Source organism: Homo sapiens, chromosome 6, assembly GCF_000001405.40.
Source record: "Homo sapiens chromosome 6, GRCh38.p14 Primary Assembly".
NCBI lineage: Eukaryota > Metazoa > Chordata > Mammalia > Primates > Hominidae > Homo > Homo sapiens.
Genome location: NC_000006.12, coordinates 133,474,419 through 133,495,349, shown reverse-complemented (window position 1 = coordinate 133,495,349; position 20,931 = coordinate 133,474,419). Strand labels below are relative to the sequence as shown.

General features: G+C 37.1%; 1 protein-coding gene across 30 annotated transcripts in view, besides 1 other annotated feature; it reads right to left on the bottom strand.

Annotated features, from left to right (window-relative positions):
* Positions 1–20,931, bottom strand: part of EYA4 (EYA transcriptional coactivator and phosphatase 4) — a 291,536-nt gene that overhangs the window by 36,779 nt on the left and 233,826 nt on the right. For all 30 annotated transcript variants that reach the window (XR_001743219.3, XR_001743220.3, XR_007059221.1 and 27 more), the window contains 2 exons: positions 13,751–13,887; positions 12,235–12,318 (listed from right to left, as the gene is read on the bottom strand). Coding sequence is in view for 27 of the 30 variants with exons in the window: in XM_017010368.3 (XP_016865857.1) it covers positions 12,235–12,318; positions 13,751–13,887 (221 nt within the window). In the remaining 3 variants the exon portion in view is untranslated. The remainder of the gene's footprint in view (positions 1–12,234; positions 12,319–13,750; positions 13,888–20,931) is intronic.
* Positions 13,736–13,909: a silencer, noted in NCBI's record as "fragment chr6:133802579-133802752 (GRCh37/hg19 assembly coordinates)". NCBI's record gives its function as "represses an EF-1alpha promoter that drives an FKBP-Casp9 reporter gene in an ReSE screen in phorbol 12-myristate 13-acetate-treated (for megakaryocytic differentiation) K562 erythroleukemia cells {active_cell/tissue: K562(+PMA)}" and the evidence as "EXISTENCE:reporter gene assay evidence [ECO:0000049][PMID:32094911]".

The window sequence follows — 20,931 nt, the reverse complement described above, 5'->3', positions numbered from 1 at the left end:
CTCTGTAGTATTTTTTATTTTTGTGGGTACATAGTAGGTGTATATACACATGGGATACATGAGATTTTTTTTCTTTTTTTTGAGACAGAGTCTCACTCTGTTGCCCAGGCTGGAATGCAGTGGAGCCATCTCAGCTCACTGCAACCTCTGCCTCTGGGGTTCAGGCGATTCTGCTGCCTCAGCCTCCTGAGTAGCTGGCATTACAGGTGCCCACCACCACACCTGGCTAATTTTTTTATTTTTAGCAGAGACGGGGTTTTGCCGTGTTGGCCAGGCTGGTCTTGAACTCCTGACCTCAGATGATCTGCCCACTTCGGCCTCCCAAAGTGCTGGGATTATAGGCGTGAGCCACCGCACCTGGCGTCATGAGATATTTTGATACAAGTATACAATGCATAATAATCACATCAGGGTAAATGGGGTATCCATCACCTCAAGTGCTTATCATTTTGTTGTGTTACAGACAATCCAATTAAACTCTTTTATTTATTTTATAATTTTATTTATTTTTTACTCTGACATCTGGGCTGGAATGCAGTGGTGTGAACATGGCTCACTGCAGCCTCAATCTCTGAGCTCAAATGATCCTCCAACATCAGCCTCCTGAGTAGCTGAGAATACAGGCATACACCACCATGCCCAGCTAATTAAAAAAAAAACACTTTTTTTTTTTTTGTAGAGGCAGGGTCTCACTATGTTGTCCAGGCTAATCTCCAACTCCTGGCCTCAAGTGATTCTCCTGCGTCACCTCCCAAAGTGTTAGGATTACAGGCCTGAGCTACTGTGCCTGGACTCTCTTAGTTATTTTAAAATGTACAATAAATTATTGTTGACTACAGTCACCCTGATGTGCTATCAAATACTAGATGTTATTCATTCTGTCTAACTATATTTTTGTACCCATTAACCATTCCCACTAACTGCACCCCTCAACAACTACCCTTCCCAACCTCTAGTAACCATTGTTCTACTCTGTCACCATTAGTTCGTTTTTTAGCTTCCAAATAAGTAAGAATATGTAAAGTTTGTCACCTTGTGCCTGGCTTATTTCACTAAAAGAGCTCCAGTTCCATCCATGTTGCTAAAAATGACAGGATCTCATTTTTTATGGCTGAATAGTACTCCACTGTGTAATGTACCACATTTTCTTTACCATTCATCTGTTGATGGACACCTAGGTAGCTTCCAAATCTTGGCTATTGTGAAAAGTGCTGAAATAAACATAGGAGTGCAAATACCTCTTTGATATACTGATTTCCTTTCTGTCGGGTATATACCTAGCAATGAGATTGCTGGATCACATGGTAGTTCTATTTTTGGTTTTTGAGGAACCTCCAAACTGTTCTCCATAGTGGTGGTACTAATTTACATTCCCACAAACGGTGTATGAGGGTTCCCTTTTCTGTACAACCTCATTGGCATTGCCTGTCTTTTGGATACAAACCATTTTAAGTGTCTTAAGATGATATCTCATTGTAGTTTTGAGTTTCTCTGATGATCAATGATGGGAACACCTTTTCACGTACCTGTTTGCCATGTGTATGTCTTCTGAGAAATATCTATTCAAATTTCTTGACCGGTTTTTATTCAGATTATTAAATATTTTCCTATTGAGTTGAGCTCCTTGTATGTTCCGCTTATTAATCCCTTGTATAATGGATAGTTTACAAATATTTTCTCCTATTCTGTGGATTATCTCTTCACTTTGTTGACTGTGTTCTTTGCTGTGCAGAAGCTTTTTAACTTGATGCCTCCCATTTATCCATTTTTGCTTGGTTGCCTGTGCTTGTGGGGTACTGCTCAAGAAATCTTTCCCTAGTCCAATGTCCTGGAGAGTGTCCCCAATGTTTTATTGTAGTAGTTTTATAGTTTGAGATCTTATATTTAAGTCTTTAGTCCATTTTGATTTGATTTTTGTATGTGGCAAGAGATAGGGGTCTAGTTTCGTTCTTCTTCACGTGGATCTCCATTATCCCAGCATCATTTATTGAAGAGACTGTTCTCTCCCCAATGTATGTGCTTGGCATCTTTGTAAAAAATGATTTCACTGTAAATGTATGAATTTGTTTCTAGGTACTCTATTCTTTTCATTGCTTTATATGTCTGTTTTTATGACAGTACCATGTTGTTTTTGTTACTATCACTTTGTGTTATAATTTGAAGTCAGGTAATGTGATTTTTCCAGTTTTACTCCTTTTGCTCAGGGTAGCTTTGGCTATTCTGGGTCTTCTGTGTTTCCATATAAATTTTAGGATTGTTTTTTTCTGTGAAGAATGTCAGTAGTATTTTGATAGTGATTGCATTGAATTGATAGATTGCTTCAGGTAAAACGGACATTTTAACAATATTGATTCTTCTAGTCCATGAACATGGAATCTCTTTCCATTTTTTTTGTGTCCTCTTCAATTTATGCCATCAATGTTTTACAGTTTTCATTGTAGAGATCTTTCATTTCTTTGGTTAATTCCTAGGAATTTTATTTTATATGTAGCTATTATAAATAGCATTACTTTTTTATTTCTTATTCAGATTGTTCACAGCTGACATATAAAAATGCTTCTGATTTTTGTATGTTGATTGATTCTGTATCCTGCAACTTTACTGATTTTATCAGCTCTGATAGTTTTTTGATGGAATCTTTAAGCTTTTCTAAAAATAAGATTATATCATCTACAAATAAGGCTAATTTGACTTCTTCCTTTCCAAATTGGATGCCATTTATTTCTTTCTACTGTCTAACTGCTCTAACTAGGACTTCCAGTACTATGCTGAATAACAGTGGTGACAGTGGGCATCTTTGTTCTGCTCCAGATCTTAGAGGAACGGTTTTCAATTTTTCCCCCTTCTGTGTGATATCAGCTGCAGGTCTGTCATATATGGCTTTTATTGTGTTAAGGTATTGTTCTTCCATACCCAGTTTTTTGAAGATTTTTTTTATCAGCAAAGGATGTTGAATTTTATCAAATACTTTTCAGCATCAGATGAAATAATCTTTATGTGTTTCATTCTGTTGGTATGATGTATCACGTTGATTGATTTGCATATGTTGAACCATCCTTGCATCCCTGGGGTAAAGCCCACTTGGGTCATGATGAATTATCTTTTCAATGTGTTGTTGAATTCAGTTTGCTAGTATTTTGTTGAGGATTTTTGCATCAATATTTATCAAGGATATTGGCCTGTAGCTTTCTTTCTTTAATGTGTCTTCTTCTGGTTTTGGTATCAGAGTAACAATAGCCCTGTAGAATGAGTTTGGAAATATTCCTTCCTCTGTTTTCTGGAATAGTTTGGGCAGGGTTGCTATTAGCTCTTCCTTAAATGTTTGGAAAAATTCAGCAGTAAAGTCATAGGGTCCCAGGCTTTCTTTTCTTCTTCCTCTTTTTTTTTTTTTTTTTTTTGAGACGGAGTTTCACTCTGTCCCCCAGGCTGCAGTGCTGTGGTGCTAACTCGGCTCACTGCAAGCTCTGCCACCCAGGTTCACGCCCTTCTCCTGCCTCAGCCTCCCGAGTAGCTGGAACTACAGGCACCCGCCACCATGCCTGGCTAATTTTTTGTATTTTTTAGTAGAGACGGGGTTTCACCATGTTAGCTAGGATGGTCTTGATCTCCTGACCTCGTGATCTGCCCACCTCGGCCTCCCAAAGTGCTGGGATTACAGGCATAACCCACTGCGCCGGGCCTGCTGGGGTACTTTTTATTGCAGCTTCCATCTCTACTTGTTATTGGTGTGTTCACGTTTTGGACTTCTTCATGATTCAATCTTGACAGCTTTATATGTCTAGTTGTTGGTCCATTTCATCTAGATTTTCCAGTTTATTGGCATGTAGTTTCTCACAGTAGCCTCTAAGAATACTTGGAATTTCTGAAGTATAGTTGTAACGTCTCCTTTTTCATTTCTGGTTTTACTTATTTGAGTCTTCTTTTTTGTTAGCTAGGCTGGTTAAAGATTTGTCTATTTTGTTTATCTTTTCAAAAAACCAACTTTTAATTTTGTTGATCTTTTGTATTTTTTTCATTTCAAGTTCATTTATTTCTTCTCTGATCTTTTCTAGTTCTTTAAGATGCATCATTAGGTGGTTTATTTGAAGTTTTTCTTTTTTTGATGCAGACAATTATAGCTATAAACTTTCCTCTTAGTGCTGCTTTCACTGTATTCCATAGGGTTTAGTATTTTGTGTTTCCATTATCACTTTTTTCTTTCAAGAAATTTTTAATTTCCTTCTTAATTTTTTCATTGACCCATTGGTCATTCAGGAGTTATTGTTTAGTTTCCATGTGCTTGCACAGTTTCCAAAATTCCTCATTATTGATTTCTAATTTTACTCCATTGTGGTCAGAGAAGATACATAATATAATTTCATTTTTTTTAATTTTTAAAGACTTGTATTGTGGCCTAACATGTGGTCTATCATGAGAATGATCCATGTGTGTAGGAGAAGAATGTATATTCTGCAGTTGTTGTATTAAATGTTCTGTAAATATCTATTAGGTCCATTTGGTCTAAGCCTGTGCAGATTAAGTCCAGTGTTTCTTTGTTGATTGTGTGTCTGGATGATGTGCCCAATGTTGAAAGTCAGGTGCTGAAGTCTCCAGTGACTATGGTATTGAAGTTTATCTCTCTCTTTAGTATTAATGATATTTGCTTTATATATCTGGGTGCTCCAGTATTGAGTGCATATACATTTAAAATTGTTATATCCTGTTGCTGATTTGACTCCTTTATTATTATATGATGACCTTCTTTTGTCTAATTTTTATAGTTTTTTTTTGTTTTACTTTTTGTGTTGAAATCCACTTTGATGATTATAAGTATAGCTACTCTAGCTCTTTTTTAGTTTTCATTTTCAGGAAATATATTTTTCCATCCCATTATTTTCAGTCTCTGTGTGCCTTTATAGGTGAAGTGTATTTCTTGTAGGCAAGAGATCGCTGGGTCACGGTTTTTTGTTTTTTTTTGTTTTTTTTTAATCTATTCAGCCACTCTATGTCTTTTCATTGGAGAGTTTAGTCCATTTACATTCAGTGTTATTACTGATAAGTAAGGACTTATTCCTGCCATTTTGTTATTTGTTTGCTGGTTGTTTTGTGGTTTCCTCTTCCTTCTTCTTGTCTTCCTTTTAGTAAAGATGACTTATTTGTTGGTATGTTTTAATTTCTTGCTTTGTATTTTTGGTGTATCTGTTGTATGTTTTTGATTTGCAGTTATCATGAGGCTTGCAAATAATATAACTCATTAATTGAAATTGATGGCAATGTAACACTGATTGCATAAACCAACAAACTAACAAACCAGCAAAGAGAAAACTAATTAAAAACTCTACACTTTGACTCTGTTCCCCTGCTTTTTAACTATTTGTTGTTTCTATTTATATCCTATTTTACTATGTCTTGAAAAGTTGTCAGTTATTATTTTTAATTGGTTCATCTTTTAGTCTTTCTACTTAAAGTATGAGTAGCTTACATACCACAATTACAGTGTTACACTATTCTGTGTTTTCCTGTGTACTTATTGTTACCTGTGAGTTTTTTACCTTCAGATGAGTTCTTACTGCTCATTAACATCCCTTTCTTTCAGATTGAAGAACTCCCTTTAGCATTTCTGGTAGGATAAATCCAGTGTTGATGAAATCACTCAGTTTTTGTTTGTCTGGGAAAGTATTTCTCCTTCATGTTTGAAGGATATTGTCACTGGATATACTATTCTAGGGTAAATATGGTTTTTTTTTTTAATCCTTCAGCACTTTAAAAATGTCATGCCACTCCCTCCTAGCCTATAAGGTTTCCACTGAAAAGTCTGCTGCCATGTACTGGAGCTCCACTGTATGTTCCTCATTTCTTTTCTTTCACTGATTTTAGGATCCTTTCTTTATTCTTGGGCTTTGAGGTTTGATTATCAAATGCTTTGAGATAGTCTTTTTTGGGTTAAATTTTATTGGTGTTCTAGAACCTTCTTGCATGTGGATATTGATATCTTTCTCTAGGTTTGGGAAGTTCTCTGTTATTATCCTTTTCAATAAACCTTCTAGCCCCACCCCTCCATCTCCTGTTTAAGGCCAATAACTCTTAGATTTGCCCTTTTGAGGCTATTTTCTAGATCTTGTAGGTGCGCTTCATTCGTTTTTATTCTTTTTTCTTTTGTCTCCCCTGGCTGTGTATTTTCAAATAGCCTGTCTTCAAGCTCACTAATTCTTTTTTCTGCTTTATCAATTCTGCTGTTAAGAGACTCATGCATTCTTCAATATGTCCATTACATTTTCAATTCCAGAATTTCTGCTTGATTTTTACTTCAATATCTTTGTTAAATTTATTTTATAGGATTCTGAATTCCTTCTCTGTTATCTTGAATTTTGTTGCGATTCCTCAAAAAAGCTATTTTGAATTCTCTATCGGAAAGGTCACATATCTCCATCTCTCTAGGATTGATCACTGGTGCCTTGTTTGGTGATGTCATGTTTTCCTGGGTAGTCTTAATGATTGTGGATGCCCACCAGTGTCTGAACATTGAAGAGTTAGGTATTTACTGGAGTCGCTGCTGTCTGGGCTTCTTTATACCTGTCCTTTTTGGGAAGGCTTTTGAGGTATCTGAAGGAACTTGGGTGTTGTGATCTAAGTTTTTGGTCACTGTATGCTATCTGCATTAAATGGGGGCACCCAAGCCCAGTAATACTGTGGCTCTTGCAGACTCATAGAGATGCCCTCTTCTTGGTCTTGGATAAGATCTCAAAGAATTCTCTGGATTACCAGGCAGAGACTTTTGTTCTATTCCCTTACTTTCTCCCAAACAAATGGGGTCTCTCTCTTGTGTTGAGCTGCCTGGAGCTGGGGAAAGGGTGACACAAGCACCTCTGTGACCACCACCCTGGGACTGTGCTGGATCAGACCTGTAGCCAGCACAGGACTGGGTCACATTCAAAGCCTGTGGTAACCACTGCCTGGCTACCACCTATGTTTGCTCAAGGCTCTACAATCAGCAGGTGGCAAAACTAGCCAAGTTTGTATGATTCCCTTCAGGGTGTCAAGTTCCCCTGGTCCCTGGTGGGTCTACAGAGCCTGGCTCCATCTAGGAGCTAGGACCTGAATCTGGAATCTACCTGGTGCTCTATTAGGAAACTACCTGTTGCTCTATTCTACTGTGGTTGAGCTAGCACCCAAGCCACAAAATGAAGTCCTTCCCACTTTTCCCTACCCTTTCCACAAGCAGAAAATTCTCTCCCATGACCACTATTGACTGCTCCAGGCCCATGGCAAGTAATGTGTAGCTATCACAGATGTTCATTCAATGCCCAAGGGCTCTTCAGTCAGCTTGTGGCGAATGCTTTCATGCCTAGGGCTCTCCCTTCAGGGCAGTGGGCACCCCTCTGACCTAAGGCAGGTGCAGAAATGCCATCCAAGAGCCATGGCCTGGAATCAGGGACCCCACATGCCGACTTGGTGCCCTATCCCACTGTTGCCAAGCTGGTACCTAAACTGCAAGAGGAAGTCCCCTTTATTCTTCCTTCTCCTTTTCTCAAGTAAAAGGAGTCCCTCTCCATAGCCACCACAGCTAGGAATATGCTGGGTCACACCTAAAGCCAGCACATCTCTGAGTCTCACCCAAGGCCTGCGGCAAGTACTGCCTTGCTACTACTGTTGATTATTCAGGGCCCAAGAGTGATGAATCTTGGTAGCAGGTGATGAATCTTGCCAAGATTGGATCCTTCCCTTCAAGGAAGCAAGCTTCCTTCAGGGCGTGTGTAGAAATGTTATCTCAGAACCAGGGCCTGGAACTGGAGCCTCAGGACTCTGCCTGGTGCCCTTTCTTTCTGTGACTGAGTTAGTATCCAAGTTGCAAGGCAAATTCCTCTTTACTCTTTCCTCTCCTCCCTCAAGTGGAAGGAAGACATCTCTACTAGAACTGTGAGCTGTGATGCCTGGGCCTGAGGGAGGGGTAGCACAAGCACTCCCTTGGCTGCCCTGGCTGGTGTCTTACCATGTCATGTGTCTGCCGAGTCCACTGGCTTCAAGCCCAGCAGAGCAGCAGGACTTGTCCAGGAATTGCGGTCCTTGTGGCCTAAACTGCCTGGACCCCAGAGCACTTTATCCCATGGTGGTGATGATTTGCCAGAACTCAGGTTCCAACAGCTGAGATGGAAGATTCTTCTCTAGCTAGGACTGGTCTAAATGCCCCCTCCATGGGTGTTGGCTAAGTTCTACCCAGTGTTGCTTTCTGCTGTGAAAGGTCACTGAGTTCCAATGCAAAAACCTACACTCACTGAGCTCTCCCTCCCCCAAGTGCACAGATTCTCTCTCTGTGCCATTCAGCTGCTGCTGGAAGACTGGTGTGGGGTGGTGGTGTCAGCAAGTCAAGACTGTCTTTCTTACCCTCTTCAGTGCCTCCTTCAGTAATATGAGTTAAAACTAGGTATTGTGTGATTGCTCACCTGGCTTTTGGTTCTTATGAAGGTGGTTGTGTTGTGTGGATACTTATTCAATTTGGTGTTGCTGCAGGGAGGACAATCAGTGGAGGTTTCTATTTTGCCAACTTGTTCCACCTCCTTCCCTTTACCTTGTACTATTCTTTCTCTTGTTTACAACCTTCCAGCCACACTAGACTTCATATTCCTGGAACACTGGAAGATCAGCACCCACTGCTGGAATGCTCTTTCCAATTCTCCCACTCTCTTAATTTGTAGGGCTAGCTCCTCTCAGTACCAATGTCACTTCCTCAGTCACATACCCCAGTCACTCATTATACGACCTAGTTTTATTTTCTTCACAGAAGTCACCAATACCTGAAATGTGTTTTTTTTTGTTTTGTTTTGTTTTTTGTTTGGTTTGTAAGCTCCATGAGAGCAAGAAGCATGTCTATTGATATTACTAACTATTTGTTAAATGAATGCAGTCTGTCTGAGGGGCTCTAGTTTACCATTTTTCAGTTATGGTTTGTGGTGAAGCTGAAGCTACCCAACGTCATCTCTGTCCCATCTGCCGTGAACCCTGAGGTGTCTGTGGTCCATAGCTTCATAAGATGGGCCTTATTTAGCTACTTCTCAATATGCCAAGATATTATTTATTACTGGCTAAAAGGCAGTGCCGATTTTCTGAATTACATTAAGTAAATTGTCAATGATAAAACAACTTTTAGAGAAATATATGTAATAATTCAATAAATAAGGCAATATAAGTTGTTTTTCATGGAATTCGACAAGGATGTTTTTGTTTTTATTAAAAAAAATATAGCCTAAAAACACTTTTACTTTAGTTTTCTTAAATTGCTCTGAGTAAAAACATTATTCAGTGTGGTCAATCTAACAGATGGTGTTATTCCCATTTTACAGATTTTGAAACTGAAGATTTAAGTAATTTGCCAGAGTCAGAATGCTGTAAGCATCAGAACTCGATTTTCGAACTTAAGTTTATCTGACTCAAAAGCTTTTGCCTTTCACCACCACCCTATTGCTTCTAAAATGTCAAACATCGGCTGAACCACAGGACAGGTATCCTATAAATGTAAGTTTATCTTTCTCATCCCCTTCCAATAGTGCCTCTGATTCTTTCTGTATTCTGCCCCACCAGCAGATACTGATTACTGTCTGCCATATTCTATTTCATGGAATATTTCTTAAGTTTTACCTCTTGATGAAAACACATTCCAAGTGTCTGAGAGAAGATCATTAAAATTACAACTTAAAAGAGAACTCACCCAACTGCCTATGCAGTACCTCACTAATTGTCTTTACTCCTGTTTGGAAATATTACTTTTCTATTGCATTCCTGGTATATTAACTGTCCAGGCCATGCGATGTGCTATGGCAGAAAGAACATGGCTTCAGGGTCAAAGAATCTGGGGCCCCAGGACTCGTCTCTGCCACTGACTGGTTGTGTGGCTGTGGACACATTTTTATTACTTCTCTGGATATGTTTCCTCATCTATAGCTTTGAGAGAACAGCCTACCCCTTCATCCTGTGGGATGCTTCCTGCCTGGCGCATCATGAGCCTTCCATAATGGTTAGTTTCCTTCTTCCCCTCGCTTTGCCCCACCCTTTTGGTATTCTCCTTCTTTTGGTTTTAACCTTCTAGAAGCACAGAGGATGCATAGAGAGTCTCTATTTTGAATTTGAAAAAAAACCTTTTAGGGAAATACTTTGGAAAAATAAAACTTGTGTGTTGAAATGAGTGCTGCATGTCCTGTCGACATCCTGGGAGCTGACAGGTTTATTTCCATGACGCAGCAGTGCTGAGAGAAGTTGAACTTTGCTTTTGGAATTGCTCTTAAAGCCAGTTTATGAGTAAATTGAGAAAGGCAGCTTCATTACTCTATGGTATTTTTGACAAAAATAAAACAAATATATACAGTGACAGTTTTACCATGCTCCTTATTCACCGCCTTGGGTCCGAATGATCTTTCTATTTTTAAAGAAAGATCAAAATGACCACAAAAGGATAAAGATGTGAAGCCAGGAAATATGTTAAAAGGCTAATGATAATTCCAAAAGATGAGTTCTACCACTGATTTGGCACAATGGGGGCAACATGGATATTTAGGTGTAACACCTCATGGTGACTATTTTGAAGGGATCTTTATTTGGGCCAGTCTGCTTATTAGATTGTTTATTTTAAACACTTACCTAATATGAAACTTAGCTGCACAAAAATATTGCAATCAGCTCAACAGGATTTACTGTGTACTTCTGATAAGCCAATACTACTTAGAATAAATTCTTCAGATTATAGTCTGGAAACTTTTTATATTGCACACTTAATCAGTAGTAGGATATTGAGTGTGTACTCCAAATTTCTGTATAATTTACTTTACTTTTGTGATAAAGGGGCTAACACTTCTTGTAAATGGTTGTTAAACAAAATTATTACCTTCACATCTGTTTAGAAATATCCATTACCTCATTACCTATACTAAAACCAAATGACAATGCAGATTCACCCAAAGTGTAATTTAGGAAGACTAGACTTCAACGCAATTTTATCATTACTTGTCAGAAGACAAAGCTTAATATAGCTTAATATAGACAAAGCTAAAAACTGCATGAGCATGAGATATTATAAAATAATGGAATGCTATGAAGACATAGGAAGACATTTCTGTAAGCGTGATATGTAAAGGAACCAAAGATACAACTTTGAGTATAGTAACTGACAGTAAGCCAACATGTTCTGAGTTGGCTTTAGTTTGATTATGAGCCCTACAGAGTCTAAGACTTAAACAGTTATTGCCTAAACAGCTGTGTTTCTAGCCAAAAAGCCTTTCAGAGTTGCATCAGTCTTCGGAGAAGCACTCACAGAGGTTTGTAATAATGATGTTATAAGAAGCTAACTATAAAAATAACTGCTGGGTGTGGTGGCTCACGCCTGTAATCCCAGCACTTTGGAGGCCGAGGGGCAGGCAGATCACTTGAGGTCAGGAGTTCGAGACCAGCCTGGCCAACATGGTGAAACCCCGTCTCTACTAAAAATACAAAAATTAGCCAGGCATGGTGGCGGGCACCTGTGATCCCAGCTACTCGAGAGGCTGAGGCAGGTGGATCATTTGAGCACGGGAAGCAGAGGTTGCAGTGAGCCAAGATCATGTCACTGCACTCTAGCCTGGGGGACAGAGTGAGACTTTGTCTCAAAATAATAATAATAATAATAATAATAATAATAATAATAATAACAATGAAATAAATAAATAAAAGAGAAAATAAAAACAATAGCAAGAGAGAAAGGCAGGTGAGGCATGAGACCATCTATTGCTGACTTTGTGTATGGGAGGGGGTGTTACCTCGGTTGCTGTTCATATGTGTACTCAAGTCACAGAAAAAACACTCATTCATAAATCCAAAAGATCTGTCAGACGAAAGATTACTCGCTATTGCTATAAAATTGCAACAAATTAATTTAAACAATTTCTTAAAGCTCTTTTATTGGGGATAATATATGATTTTATAATGTTTTGAAGTCCATTTCGATTTACAATTTTTTTTCTAAAATAATTATGTGAGACTAAGAAGCTTGGTCTTGATGTAGAAAACTCAGTCCTTTTGAAGAAATAGCAAGGAATTCAATTTATAATTAGCTTTGTTAAATTTGCCAGTTCATATTAAAGAACTATAAGACACTAGAAATAGATAATTAAGAGAAGATTTCACAGACTGCAATAAAAAAACACTTAAAAGAATTTTTAAATAGCCCTTGATTTTAAACAAACACAAAAAATTTAACAAGATTTCTTGGAGTAACATTTCTTGATTTCTTACCTTGCCATACTTCTGTGCATAAGACCCGGTGAGCAGTGAGTGAAAAACAATGATGGTTTCATCCAAATCCCAGACAAACACACGCTGAAGACAAAAAATAAATATCAGAAAATTAAAAAGTCCAAGGAAACAGAAATCTCTTTACAAGCAGAAAATGTCTCCCTTCCTAGAGATCATCTTGATATCATTTAATAGAAAATAATACTATTCATTTTTTTGTTTTTCAAATTTGCCAAATCTAACTCCTATAAAGCCTGAGGAGCAGGAATTATACAAATTATAAGCTTAAGAGTCAGATGTCCTCGCTTGAATAAATTAATCCATACATTTACTCGTAGTTAACACCAAAAAGAGATACATTCAGACTTTATGATAGAAGCATGCTTGAAACTCTACATATTTTAAAGTTTTATACCTTAGGGATTCATAAACTTTTACAATTTCTGCAAAGAATTAGATTTTAAAGAAATATTTAAAAGAATCAATGAGTAACCGCTAAACAGAATTGTCAAGTATAGATCCTGGGGTCACATTAGGCCAGCAGATATGTTGGCCTCCCTGGAGTTTTGAAGGATTTCAAATTATGAATTAACATTTGAGAACTAGGCAATTGCCCACAAACTTCAGGGTTTTGACTGTAGCACAGCAACTAGAAGTTGTGGCCAGGCTGGCTGCCATTCCTACATGGCAGTGACAGGCAGGTCCCTCAGAATGGGCCTGCACTCTGAGCTCCTCACAGTCTGCTGGGCAACTCAGCCCGGTCACTCATTTATATCATCTGTCAAGTTCTTGAGGCAATGTGAACTTGTTGCTGTTGTTCAAGAAAAGGAAGTTATCTCTTATAAAGAATCACAACGTCTGTCACTTGATTTTACTAAATCTGGAAGTTCAATTTTTTTCTTAACCGAAGTATGTGGTATGTAAGAAGTAACATATTATGGTTAAGAATAGTTTCTACTGATGTTGTATATAAAAATCAACCCTGCTTAGTACAGATATATCTCAAAAGAACTCATAAATAGAAAGTGACATATAATGAAATTTTCAGATTTTAACACATACTATTAAGTGATTGAAACTTGTCCTATTTTTAGAAGATGAATTTTTCTTTCTATACAAATTACTTTCATCTTTTTAAACTTAATGACCCATTTGGACATCTTCCATTACTTTAGTGCTATCGAATACAGTGCTACATAGAAAAGTATCCCACAAACAATGGCTATAGTTTTAAAATTTGTCGGTGCCAATTTAGATCAAAACTTGCAATTATCTCAGGCCAATAATCTGTAAATCAAGATCATTTTTATACTGTTATTTGTTCTTAATTTTAATATTATAATGGATGGAATCTCAAACTTCAGAGTTGTAAAATGCCTATCACAAAGTAGTTCCATTCAATTCATGATATATCTTGATTTTTAAATTTGAAACATAATGGAACTGTAAGATAGAGAATGTATCATTCGGTAAAATAAAGCATCACACTACAATCTTTAAGAATGAGTAGGCATACCTCCAGGTCACTATCAGGAGGCGGGGAGGGATTATTTTTCCGGCCTCTTCCTCTGGACTTTGACCCAGAACTCCTACAGGTTCTCTCATCAAGATCTTTGATGGGTGTGGAGGGACTCTGCATGGTATCGAACTCTCCTATAGATAACATGACTTAGGTCAAGAATAGCACTTCATTTTTAGATCAAGTATGAGTCTTCATTATTAATTATCTTAACAAATTCCTATACAATAGAAACCTCCTGATGGCAAAAAAGAGATTTATAATCCCAAGCACACACAAGTCAGTCAGAACTTTTGTAGTTTACACAAACTCCTACTAGTTGTAATCTATGTGATCTATTAAACTTGAATGTCTTTTCTACACCATACGCCTTCAACTTCCTGTCTATACCTTCACTTACATATTTATCTCCATTTAGATATGTCCTCACCTCCTTTTTTGTCACAGTTCAGAGAATGAGATGTCTTCTTCTGGATCAATTCCATCCCTCCACCTGCAAACCTGACTCCCAGCCCCACCTCCTAGGAAGTCATGCTTCATTAGTCAAACCCTCTCTCATCTTCCCTTCCACCTCTCTCATCTTCCCTTCCACCTCTCCCATCTTCCCTTCCACCTCTCCCATCTTCCCTTCCACCTCTCCCATTTTCCCTTCCACCTCTCCCATTTCTTGGGGTCACTGAGAAGTTAAAAAGTCCTTCCCTCTGACCTGGAATTTCCATCTAGATACTATTTGCTTCCATTTTCTCTTTTACATAAAACTTCTTAGAATAGTGCATACTAGTGCTATATGACAGAAATACCATGTGAGCCACAAATGTGATCTTATATAATATTTTAAAGTTTTTTATCAGCTATGTTAAAAAAAGTAAAAAGAGATATGTAAAATTATCATCACTTCTATGTTAATTGCCCCAATATATCCATGTTATCATATCAGTATGTAATCAATGTGTTAATTGACTCAATATATTCATGTTATATCCGTATGTAATCAATATAAAATTATCAATGATATGTTTTACATTTTCTTTTTCATACTAAGTCTTTGAAATGTTGTGCAGTGTTCTATGCTTATACTGGATCTCAGTCCACACTAGCAACATGACAAGTGCTCAAGAGTCACGTGTGGCCAGTGGCTGCAGCACTGGACGGCATATCTGTCCCCACTTATTGATATCCAATTTATCATAATCTAGCTTCAGTTCCCCAAAATGCGATAAAAATACTCCTGCTAATAGTCCCCAGAAATCACCTTGTTGACAAATGCAATAGACAGACTCAGTCCTTGTCTTCCAGGATCTCTGTGCTGTGTGTGATTCTCTTAAACAGCACCTCCTCGAAACTATTATTTGACAGCTGATACCTTGCACTCTCCTAGTTCTAGAATCACTCCGATCAGTCCATCTCCATCTAGAAAACATGGACTCCTGTACTTCTCCCATTCCTTATGAGCTAGTATGTCAGAATTCCATCCTCTGATCACTGTCTTCACTCCACACAATCTGGGGGATTTAACTCTCTCATGTGTTAATGACCCTCTCTGTGATGACTCACATATAAACCTATACCTCCAACTAGGCCACATCCTAAGTTTCAGACTTTAATTCAGTTTCAGAATCCAATTGACTTCTGTACGTCCCATAGATATCTAAAACTCTGAAATGATTAAAGCTTGTGAGAAAGTATCTTAGGAGGTAGAGAGTACTGAGTAGTAGCAAATCTGTAGGAGCAACTGTTAAGATAAACTGAGGCAACTGTGAGATACAGTATAACAAGTTGAAGAGTCAGAATTACTATATGAGTACAAGCATTTTATTCAATCTCTCTAAATCTCAGTTTCATGGCAGCTTTCTGGAATACTGAGGGATAAATCTGATTTATATTTAATTTGATTTAAATTATATGTATAAAGTGACAATTTCCAAGACAGAAGGTAAACTACATTAAATTTAAATTACATGATTTTTAAACAAAAAGATATTATGGCTATTATTTTTTATCATTAAATTTAAAAATTAAAATAAAACAATTCTGAGGAAAACCAAGCAGTTATTAATCTAAATAAACAAATCTGAACAAACTAGGCATCACTTTTTCTGAGAAATAGTAATTTTTACATGGGTAACCTCTAACATTTTCTTTGGGAAACACTGTGCATGTCAGCACATGATCAAAAAAATATGCCTGTGCTCCAAATATTATTTGCACTTAAAATATTGCCAGCATAGTTCATTTCATGGGTCTATGTTATCACCTCGGTGAGAGTAGATAGCAGAGTAATAAGGTTTTTAAGTTATGGGGTTGAATATAGCCTTGTCTCATAGTAAATCATGTTTCACCTTATTTGTATAGGCATTAAATTAGTCTTTAGATGTCTGAACATACACCAACTTTTAAATAAAATCACATAAAAGTTCCATTTTTAATTATTTTTGAAACAGAATTTTCCTAAGGTTACTATATCCCACAAACCAAATGTCTGCTTTCAAATAAAATGGTGATTAAAATTAACCCTCACTTATTAAGCATGCATTTAAAAAACATTTTGGATGACGTTCCATAAAACTTCTCCTTATAGTCATTATAGATCAATTTTCAGGTGTTAACTATCATAAGGCAACTTTGTTCTTGTCACAGTGCAAGAGCTGAAAGGACAAAAACTTGAGGAACCCCAGTCATGGGTGGTTGTAGGCTGAGTCCATAAAGGAGGAGTTTAGCAGGAATAATTCTGCTATTCAAATGAACTGGGATCCAGCAGCTGTCACAGCAAAGGGGTGAAAAGAGCAGAAGAGGAAAGAGAAAAGACTGTGGTTGTAGGACGTATCTGGGTTTCAGTAAACCTAAGACTTTATTCCCATTGATGCTTTTCAAATTACTGAAGGATCTTAAAAGGGCTCTAAGAATTTGGACAAAATATCTGCAGAAGTGTTTTGATGGGGATAAAGACAGCCTTTTTAGAAAACTATGAAGGGTAACTCTACATTTATTCACCCCTTAGTACATGTCATGCACTGTTCTTTAAAAATTTTTTTTATTGAAATATATGTGTTTGGCTTCATTCACTGCTGTGAGATAATCCATATTCTAGCCTGGGATAGCAGTTGTCCTTTCCTTAATGTGGCTAGAACTTCTTCATGTATATATATATTACACTGTATCTATTACACTGTATCCATTCTGTTGATGGACATTTGGGTTATTCACAATTTTAGGCTACTATGAATAAAGCTGCTATATACATTCTTGTACATGTCTTTGTGGATACAAGCTCTTAATTCTTCTTGGGTATGCATACCTGGCAATGTGATTCCTGGGTCAGAGGGAAGGCATATGTTCATCTTTAACAGACACTGACTTTTTTCCAGTGTATTACTCTCTTTCCAGTGTATTAACGACCATGCTAACCCACTGCTCATTTTTATTAATTTAAAGACAGTATTAATTTACTCTTACCACAATGAGAGTTTCAGTTGTTCCACATCCTTGTCAATACTTGATATTGTTAGCGTTTTTTTATTTTCACCATTTTGGGTGTGTGATTGATGGTATCTCACTGTGGTTTTAATTATAATTTTCTTGATGAGTAATTATGAAGAATACTTTTTCATGTTTCTTGCTCATTTGATATCTTCTTTTTAATGAAGTAACTGTTAAATCTTTTGCCCATTAAGAAAACTAGGCTGTTTGTCTTTTTCTTATTGATTTGTCAAAGCTCTTTATTATGAAACATTATATATATTTATGTGTGTATATATATATATGCGTGTGTGTGTGTGTGTGTGTCTGACTTAAACCTCACTCCAACCCGGTGAATTAGGTCCTTCATTATTGTCTTTTAATAATGGAGAAACTGGAGAAGTGGCAATTAATTTAACAAAATTAAATAGCTTGTATGATGCAACACTGGTATGACTGCAGAACTCCTCCTTTAACCATTTGGCTATACTTTCTCAGGCAAATAGCAATGGACTCTTCAGGTTACCAGAAGGTCAAACCTAGATCTGCTTCTACTTATAAAAGAGTCATATAACAACCTACTAGAGTGAGAGAAAATATTTGCAAACCATACATCTGATAAAGGGTTAATATCCAAAATACACAAGGAACTTAAACAACTCAATAGTAAAAAACAAATAACTCAAATAAAAAATGGGCAATGGGTTGGCATGATCATCACTCAAAAGAAGACATAAAAATGACAACAGGTGTATGAAAAATGCTCAACATGACTCATTATCAAAGAAATGCAAATTAAAACTACAATGAGATACCACCTCACACCTGTTAAAATGGTATTATCTAAAAGAAGAAAAATAACAAGTGTAGGAGACACTGTGGCGGACAGAAATCTTGCACACTGCTGGTGGGGGTGTAAATTAGCACAGCCATTTAGTCCATTTTCACATCGCTATAAAGAACTACTCGAGACTGGGTAATTTACAAAGGAAAGAGGTTTAGCTGACTCAGTTGAGCATGGCTGAGGAAGCCTCAGGAAACTTACAATCATGGCAGAAGGGGAAGGGGAAGCAAGGCACCTTCTTCACAAGGTGGCAGGAAGGAGAAGGAAAGCAGAAGGAACTACCAAACATGTATAAAACTGTCAGATTTCATGAGAACTCACTCACTATCACGAGAACAGCATGGAGGAAACTGCCCCCCTGATTCAATTACCTCCACCTGGTCTCTCCCTTGACACATGGGCATTAGGGGGATTACAATTCAAGATGAGATTTTGGATGGGGACACCACCAAACCATATCAGCCATTATAGAAAATGCTATGGAAGTTCCTAAAAACGGAACTACCATATGATCCAGCAATCACACCGCTGGGTATATATCAAAGGAAATGAAATCAGTATGTTGAAGAGATATCTGCACTTCCATGTTCATTGCAGCATTATTCACAAATAGCCAAGATATGGAGTCAACCTAAGTGTTCATCAATGGATAAACGGACAAAGGAAATGTGGTATATGTACATTATGGAATAATGTTTGGCCTTAAAAAAGAAAATCCTGTCATTTGAGACAACAAGGATGAACTTAGAGAACATTATGTTAAGTGAAATAAGCTAAGCACAGAAAGACAAATACTACATGACCTCATTTATATGTGGAGTGCAAAAAAGTTGAACTCGTAGAAGAAGTGAGTAAGATGGTGGTTGCCAAGGGCTGTGGGGCTGGAGAGGGAGACTGGGGAGCTGTTGGTCAAAGGATATAACACTTCAGCTAGACAAGAGGAGTAAGTTCAAGATATCTATTATACAACATGTTACTATACGTAGTAACAATGTATTGTATTTCTAAAAATTGCTAAGAGAATAGATTTTCGGGGTTCTCACCACAAAATGATAAGCATGTGAGGTAATGCATATGTTAATCAGCTCAATTTAGCCATTTCACAATATAAATGTATTTCAAAACAATGGGTTATACACAAAAATAGATACAATTTCTTTTTAAAGACTCAGACTCCTGGACTCAAGCAATCTTCTCGCCTCAGCCTCCAGAGTAGCTGAGATTACGGGTGCCCATCACTGCACCAATATATATACTTTTTTATTTGTCAGTTAAACAATAAATTAAAATAAAAGTCACATGGGCATTATATAATTTCTGTGAGATGGAGGGCCAAAGAATTCACTGAAAGAACTTCACAGAAGCAAAAGAGCATGCCCTGCAGAGGCCATGCGATACATCTGGGCTCCTAGAGCAATCACCCAGGTGGAATTGTACTGACCTCTATTCCTTTTGCAGGTGCTATCCTTTCTTCTGATAAAGGGTAAAACCAGGAACTTGAGCTCAACCAGTCATTAAACATTTGTTGACACTTTTTTTTAAAAGAAGAAAGCTGTTAATTCCAGTGCCTCTGCCAAATTTCACTCAGGTAATTGCACAAGGGCATAGCAATGCCACAGGTAGGGAAAATGTAAATTGGCAGAGCAGTTGAATGTGGTCCTTTCTATCTAAATCCTCTTGTTAGTTTCCATTAGATGAGTTAGCACTTTACTTCCCTTCCTTTCCTTACGTGAAATACCATGAAGTTATCAAAAGGCTGCTGTGTTCTGCCTAAGAAACTGGCTTCTTTTCAGAGAGTGAAATGATCTTACTCTATCCTTTACTTTTCTAGAGCACCTGTTAGGTTCAGTTAGCTAATGTATTGTAATGTTTGTCAAAGTGTCAGGGTAAAACATAATATTGTTATACAAGACTAACTGTATTTGATTTTAAAGATGTTTAAAATATTTGAAAAGGAGGCGCTATAAAAATATTTCTCATCTTCATGTGCAAATCTGTCCTCAAACTTTCTTAATACAAATAAAAAATCTGATATACCCAATATAAATTTTACTTTAAAGAAAGACCTTTAGAAAGAGAATGAAGTAAAATGTCTGCTCTTAATCAGCATGGTAGTGTTTCTTTAAATCCACTGTCAAACTACCTAATAAGGTAAATTAAATAATGGAATGCTATTTGCAATTTCCAAGTAACATCAGTCATTACAAAATTGCCCTAGGCTTTTCTTGACCCAATACTATACATGATTGAATAATTATCCTTTAATCAGTACAGTAATGAATAACTGCACCTTTTAAGTTTTGGATATTTAGATCCCACTTTATTTCATTAGGCTTATCTCTAAATCAGAAAAACCAGCTGTCTCTTATTGAACATAAGGTATGTTTTCATTATAAAAGTAGAATTCAGCAGTGACTGTTCTATGAAAAACTGTGGGTTTAATTTTAGGTTTCTACTTTAAGTCCAAAATGCAGAACCAGTCAATGGGAAATACTTTTCTTGCCCTTGAACTAAATACATCAGATTCCATCAATAATAAAGAAAAATTCCATAGTTATAAACTTGTTTGCTTTTTGGCCGTATGCCAGATCTGAAAAGGCAAAATTAAACCTAAAACTGCATTGACTGAAGGTCTGAGGTCATAGAATTCTTTAAAGATCCAGACATGTGTGTTGTTACGATTTTGGTTGAGAGAATAATATAGTTATAAGTAGAATTAATTCCTTCTTTAAATTCAACAGACAGTCTAATAAAATCTGAAAATGATGTCAAACTATATTTCTTGACCTCAGCAACCAATGAAGGCCTGATGAAATTGCAGCATTCTGATAGTGAATGTCAGAATTCCATATGTGAATGTGTCACATCCAAAGTCACA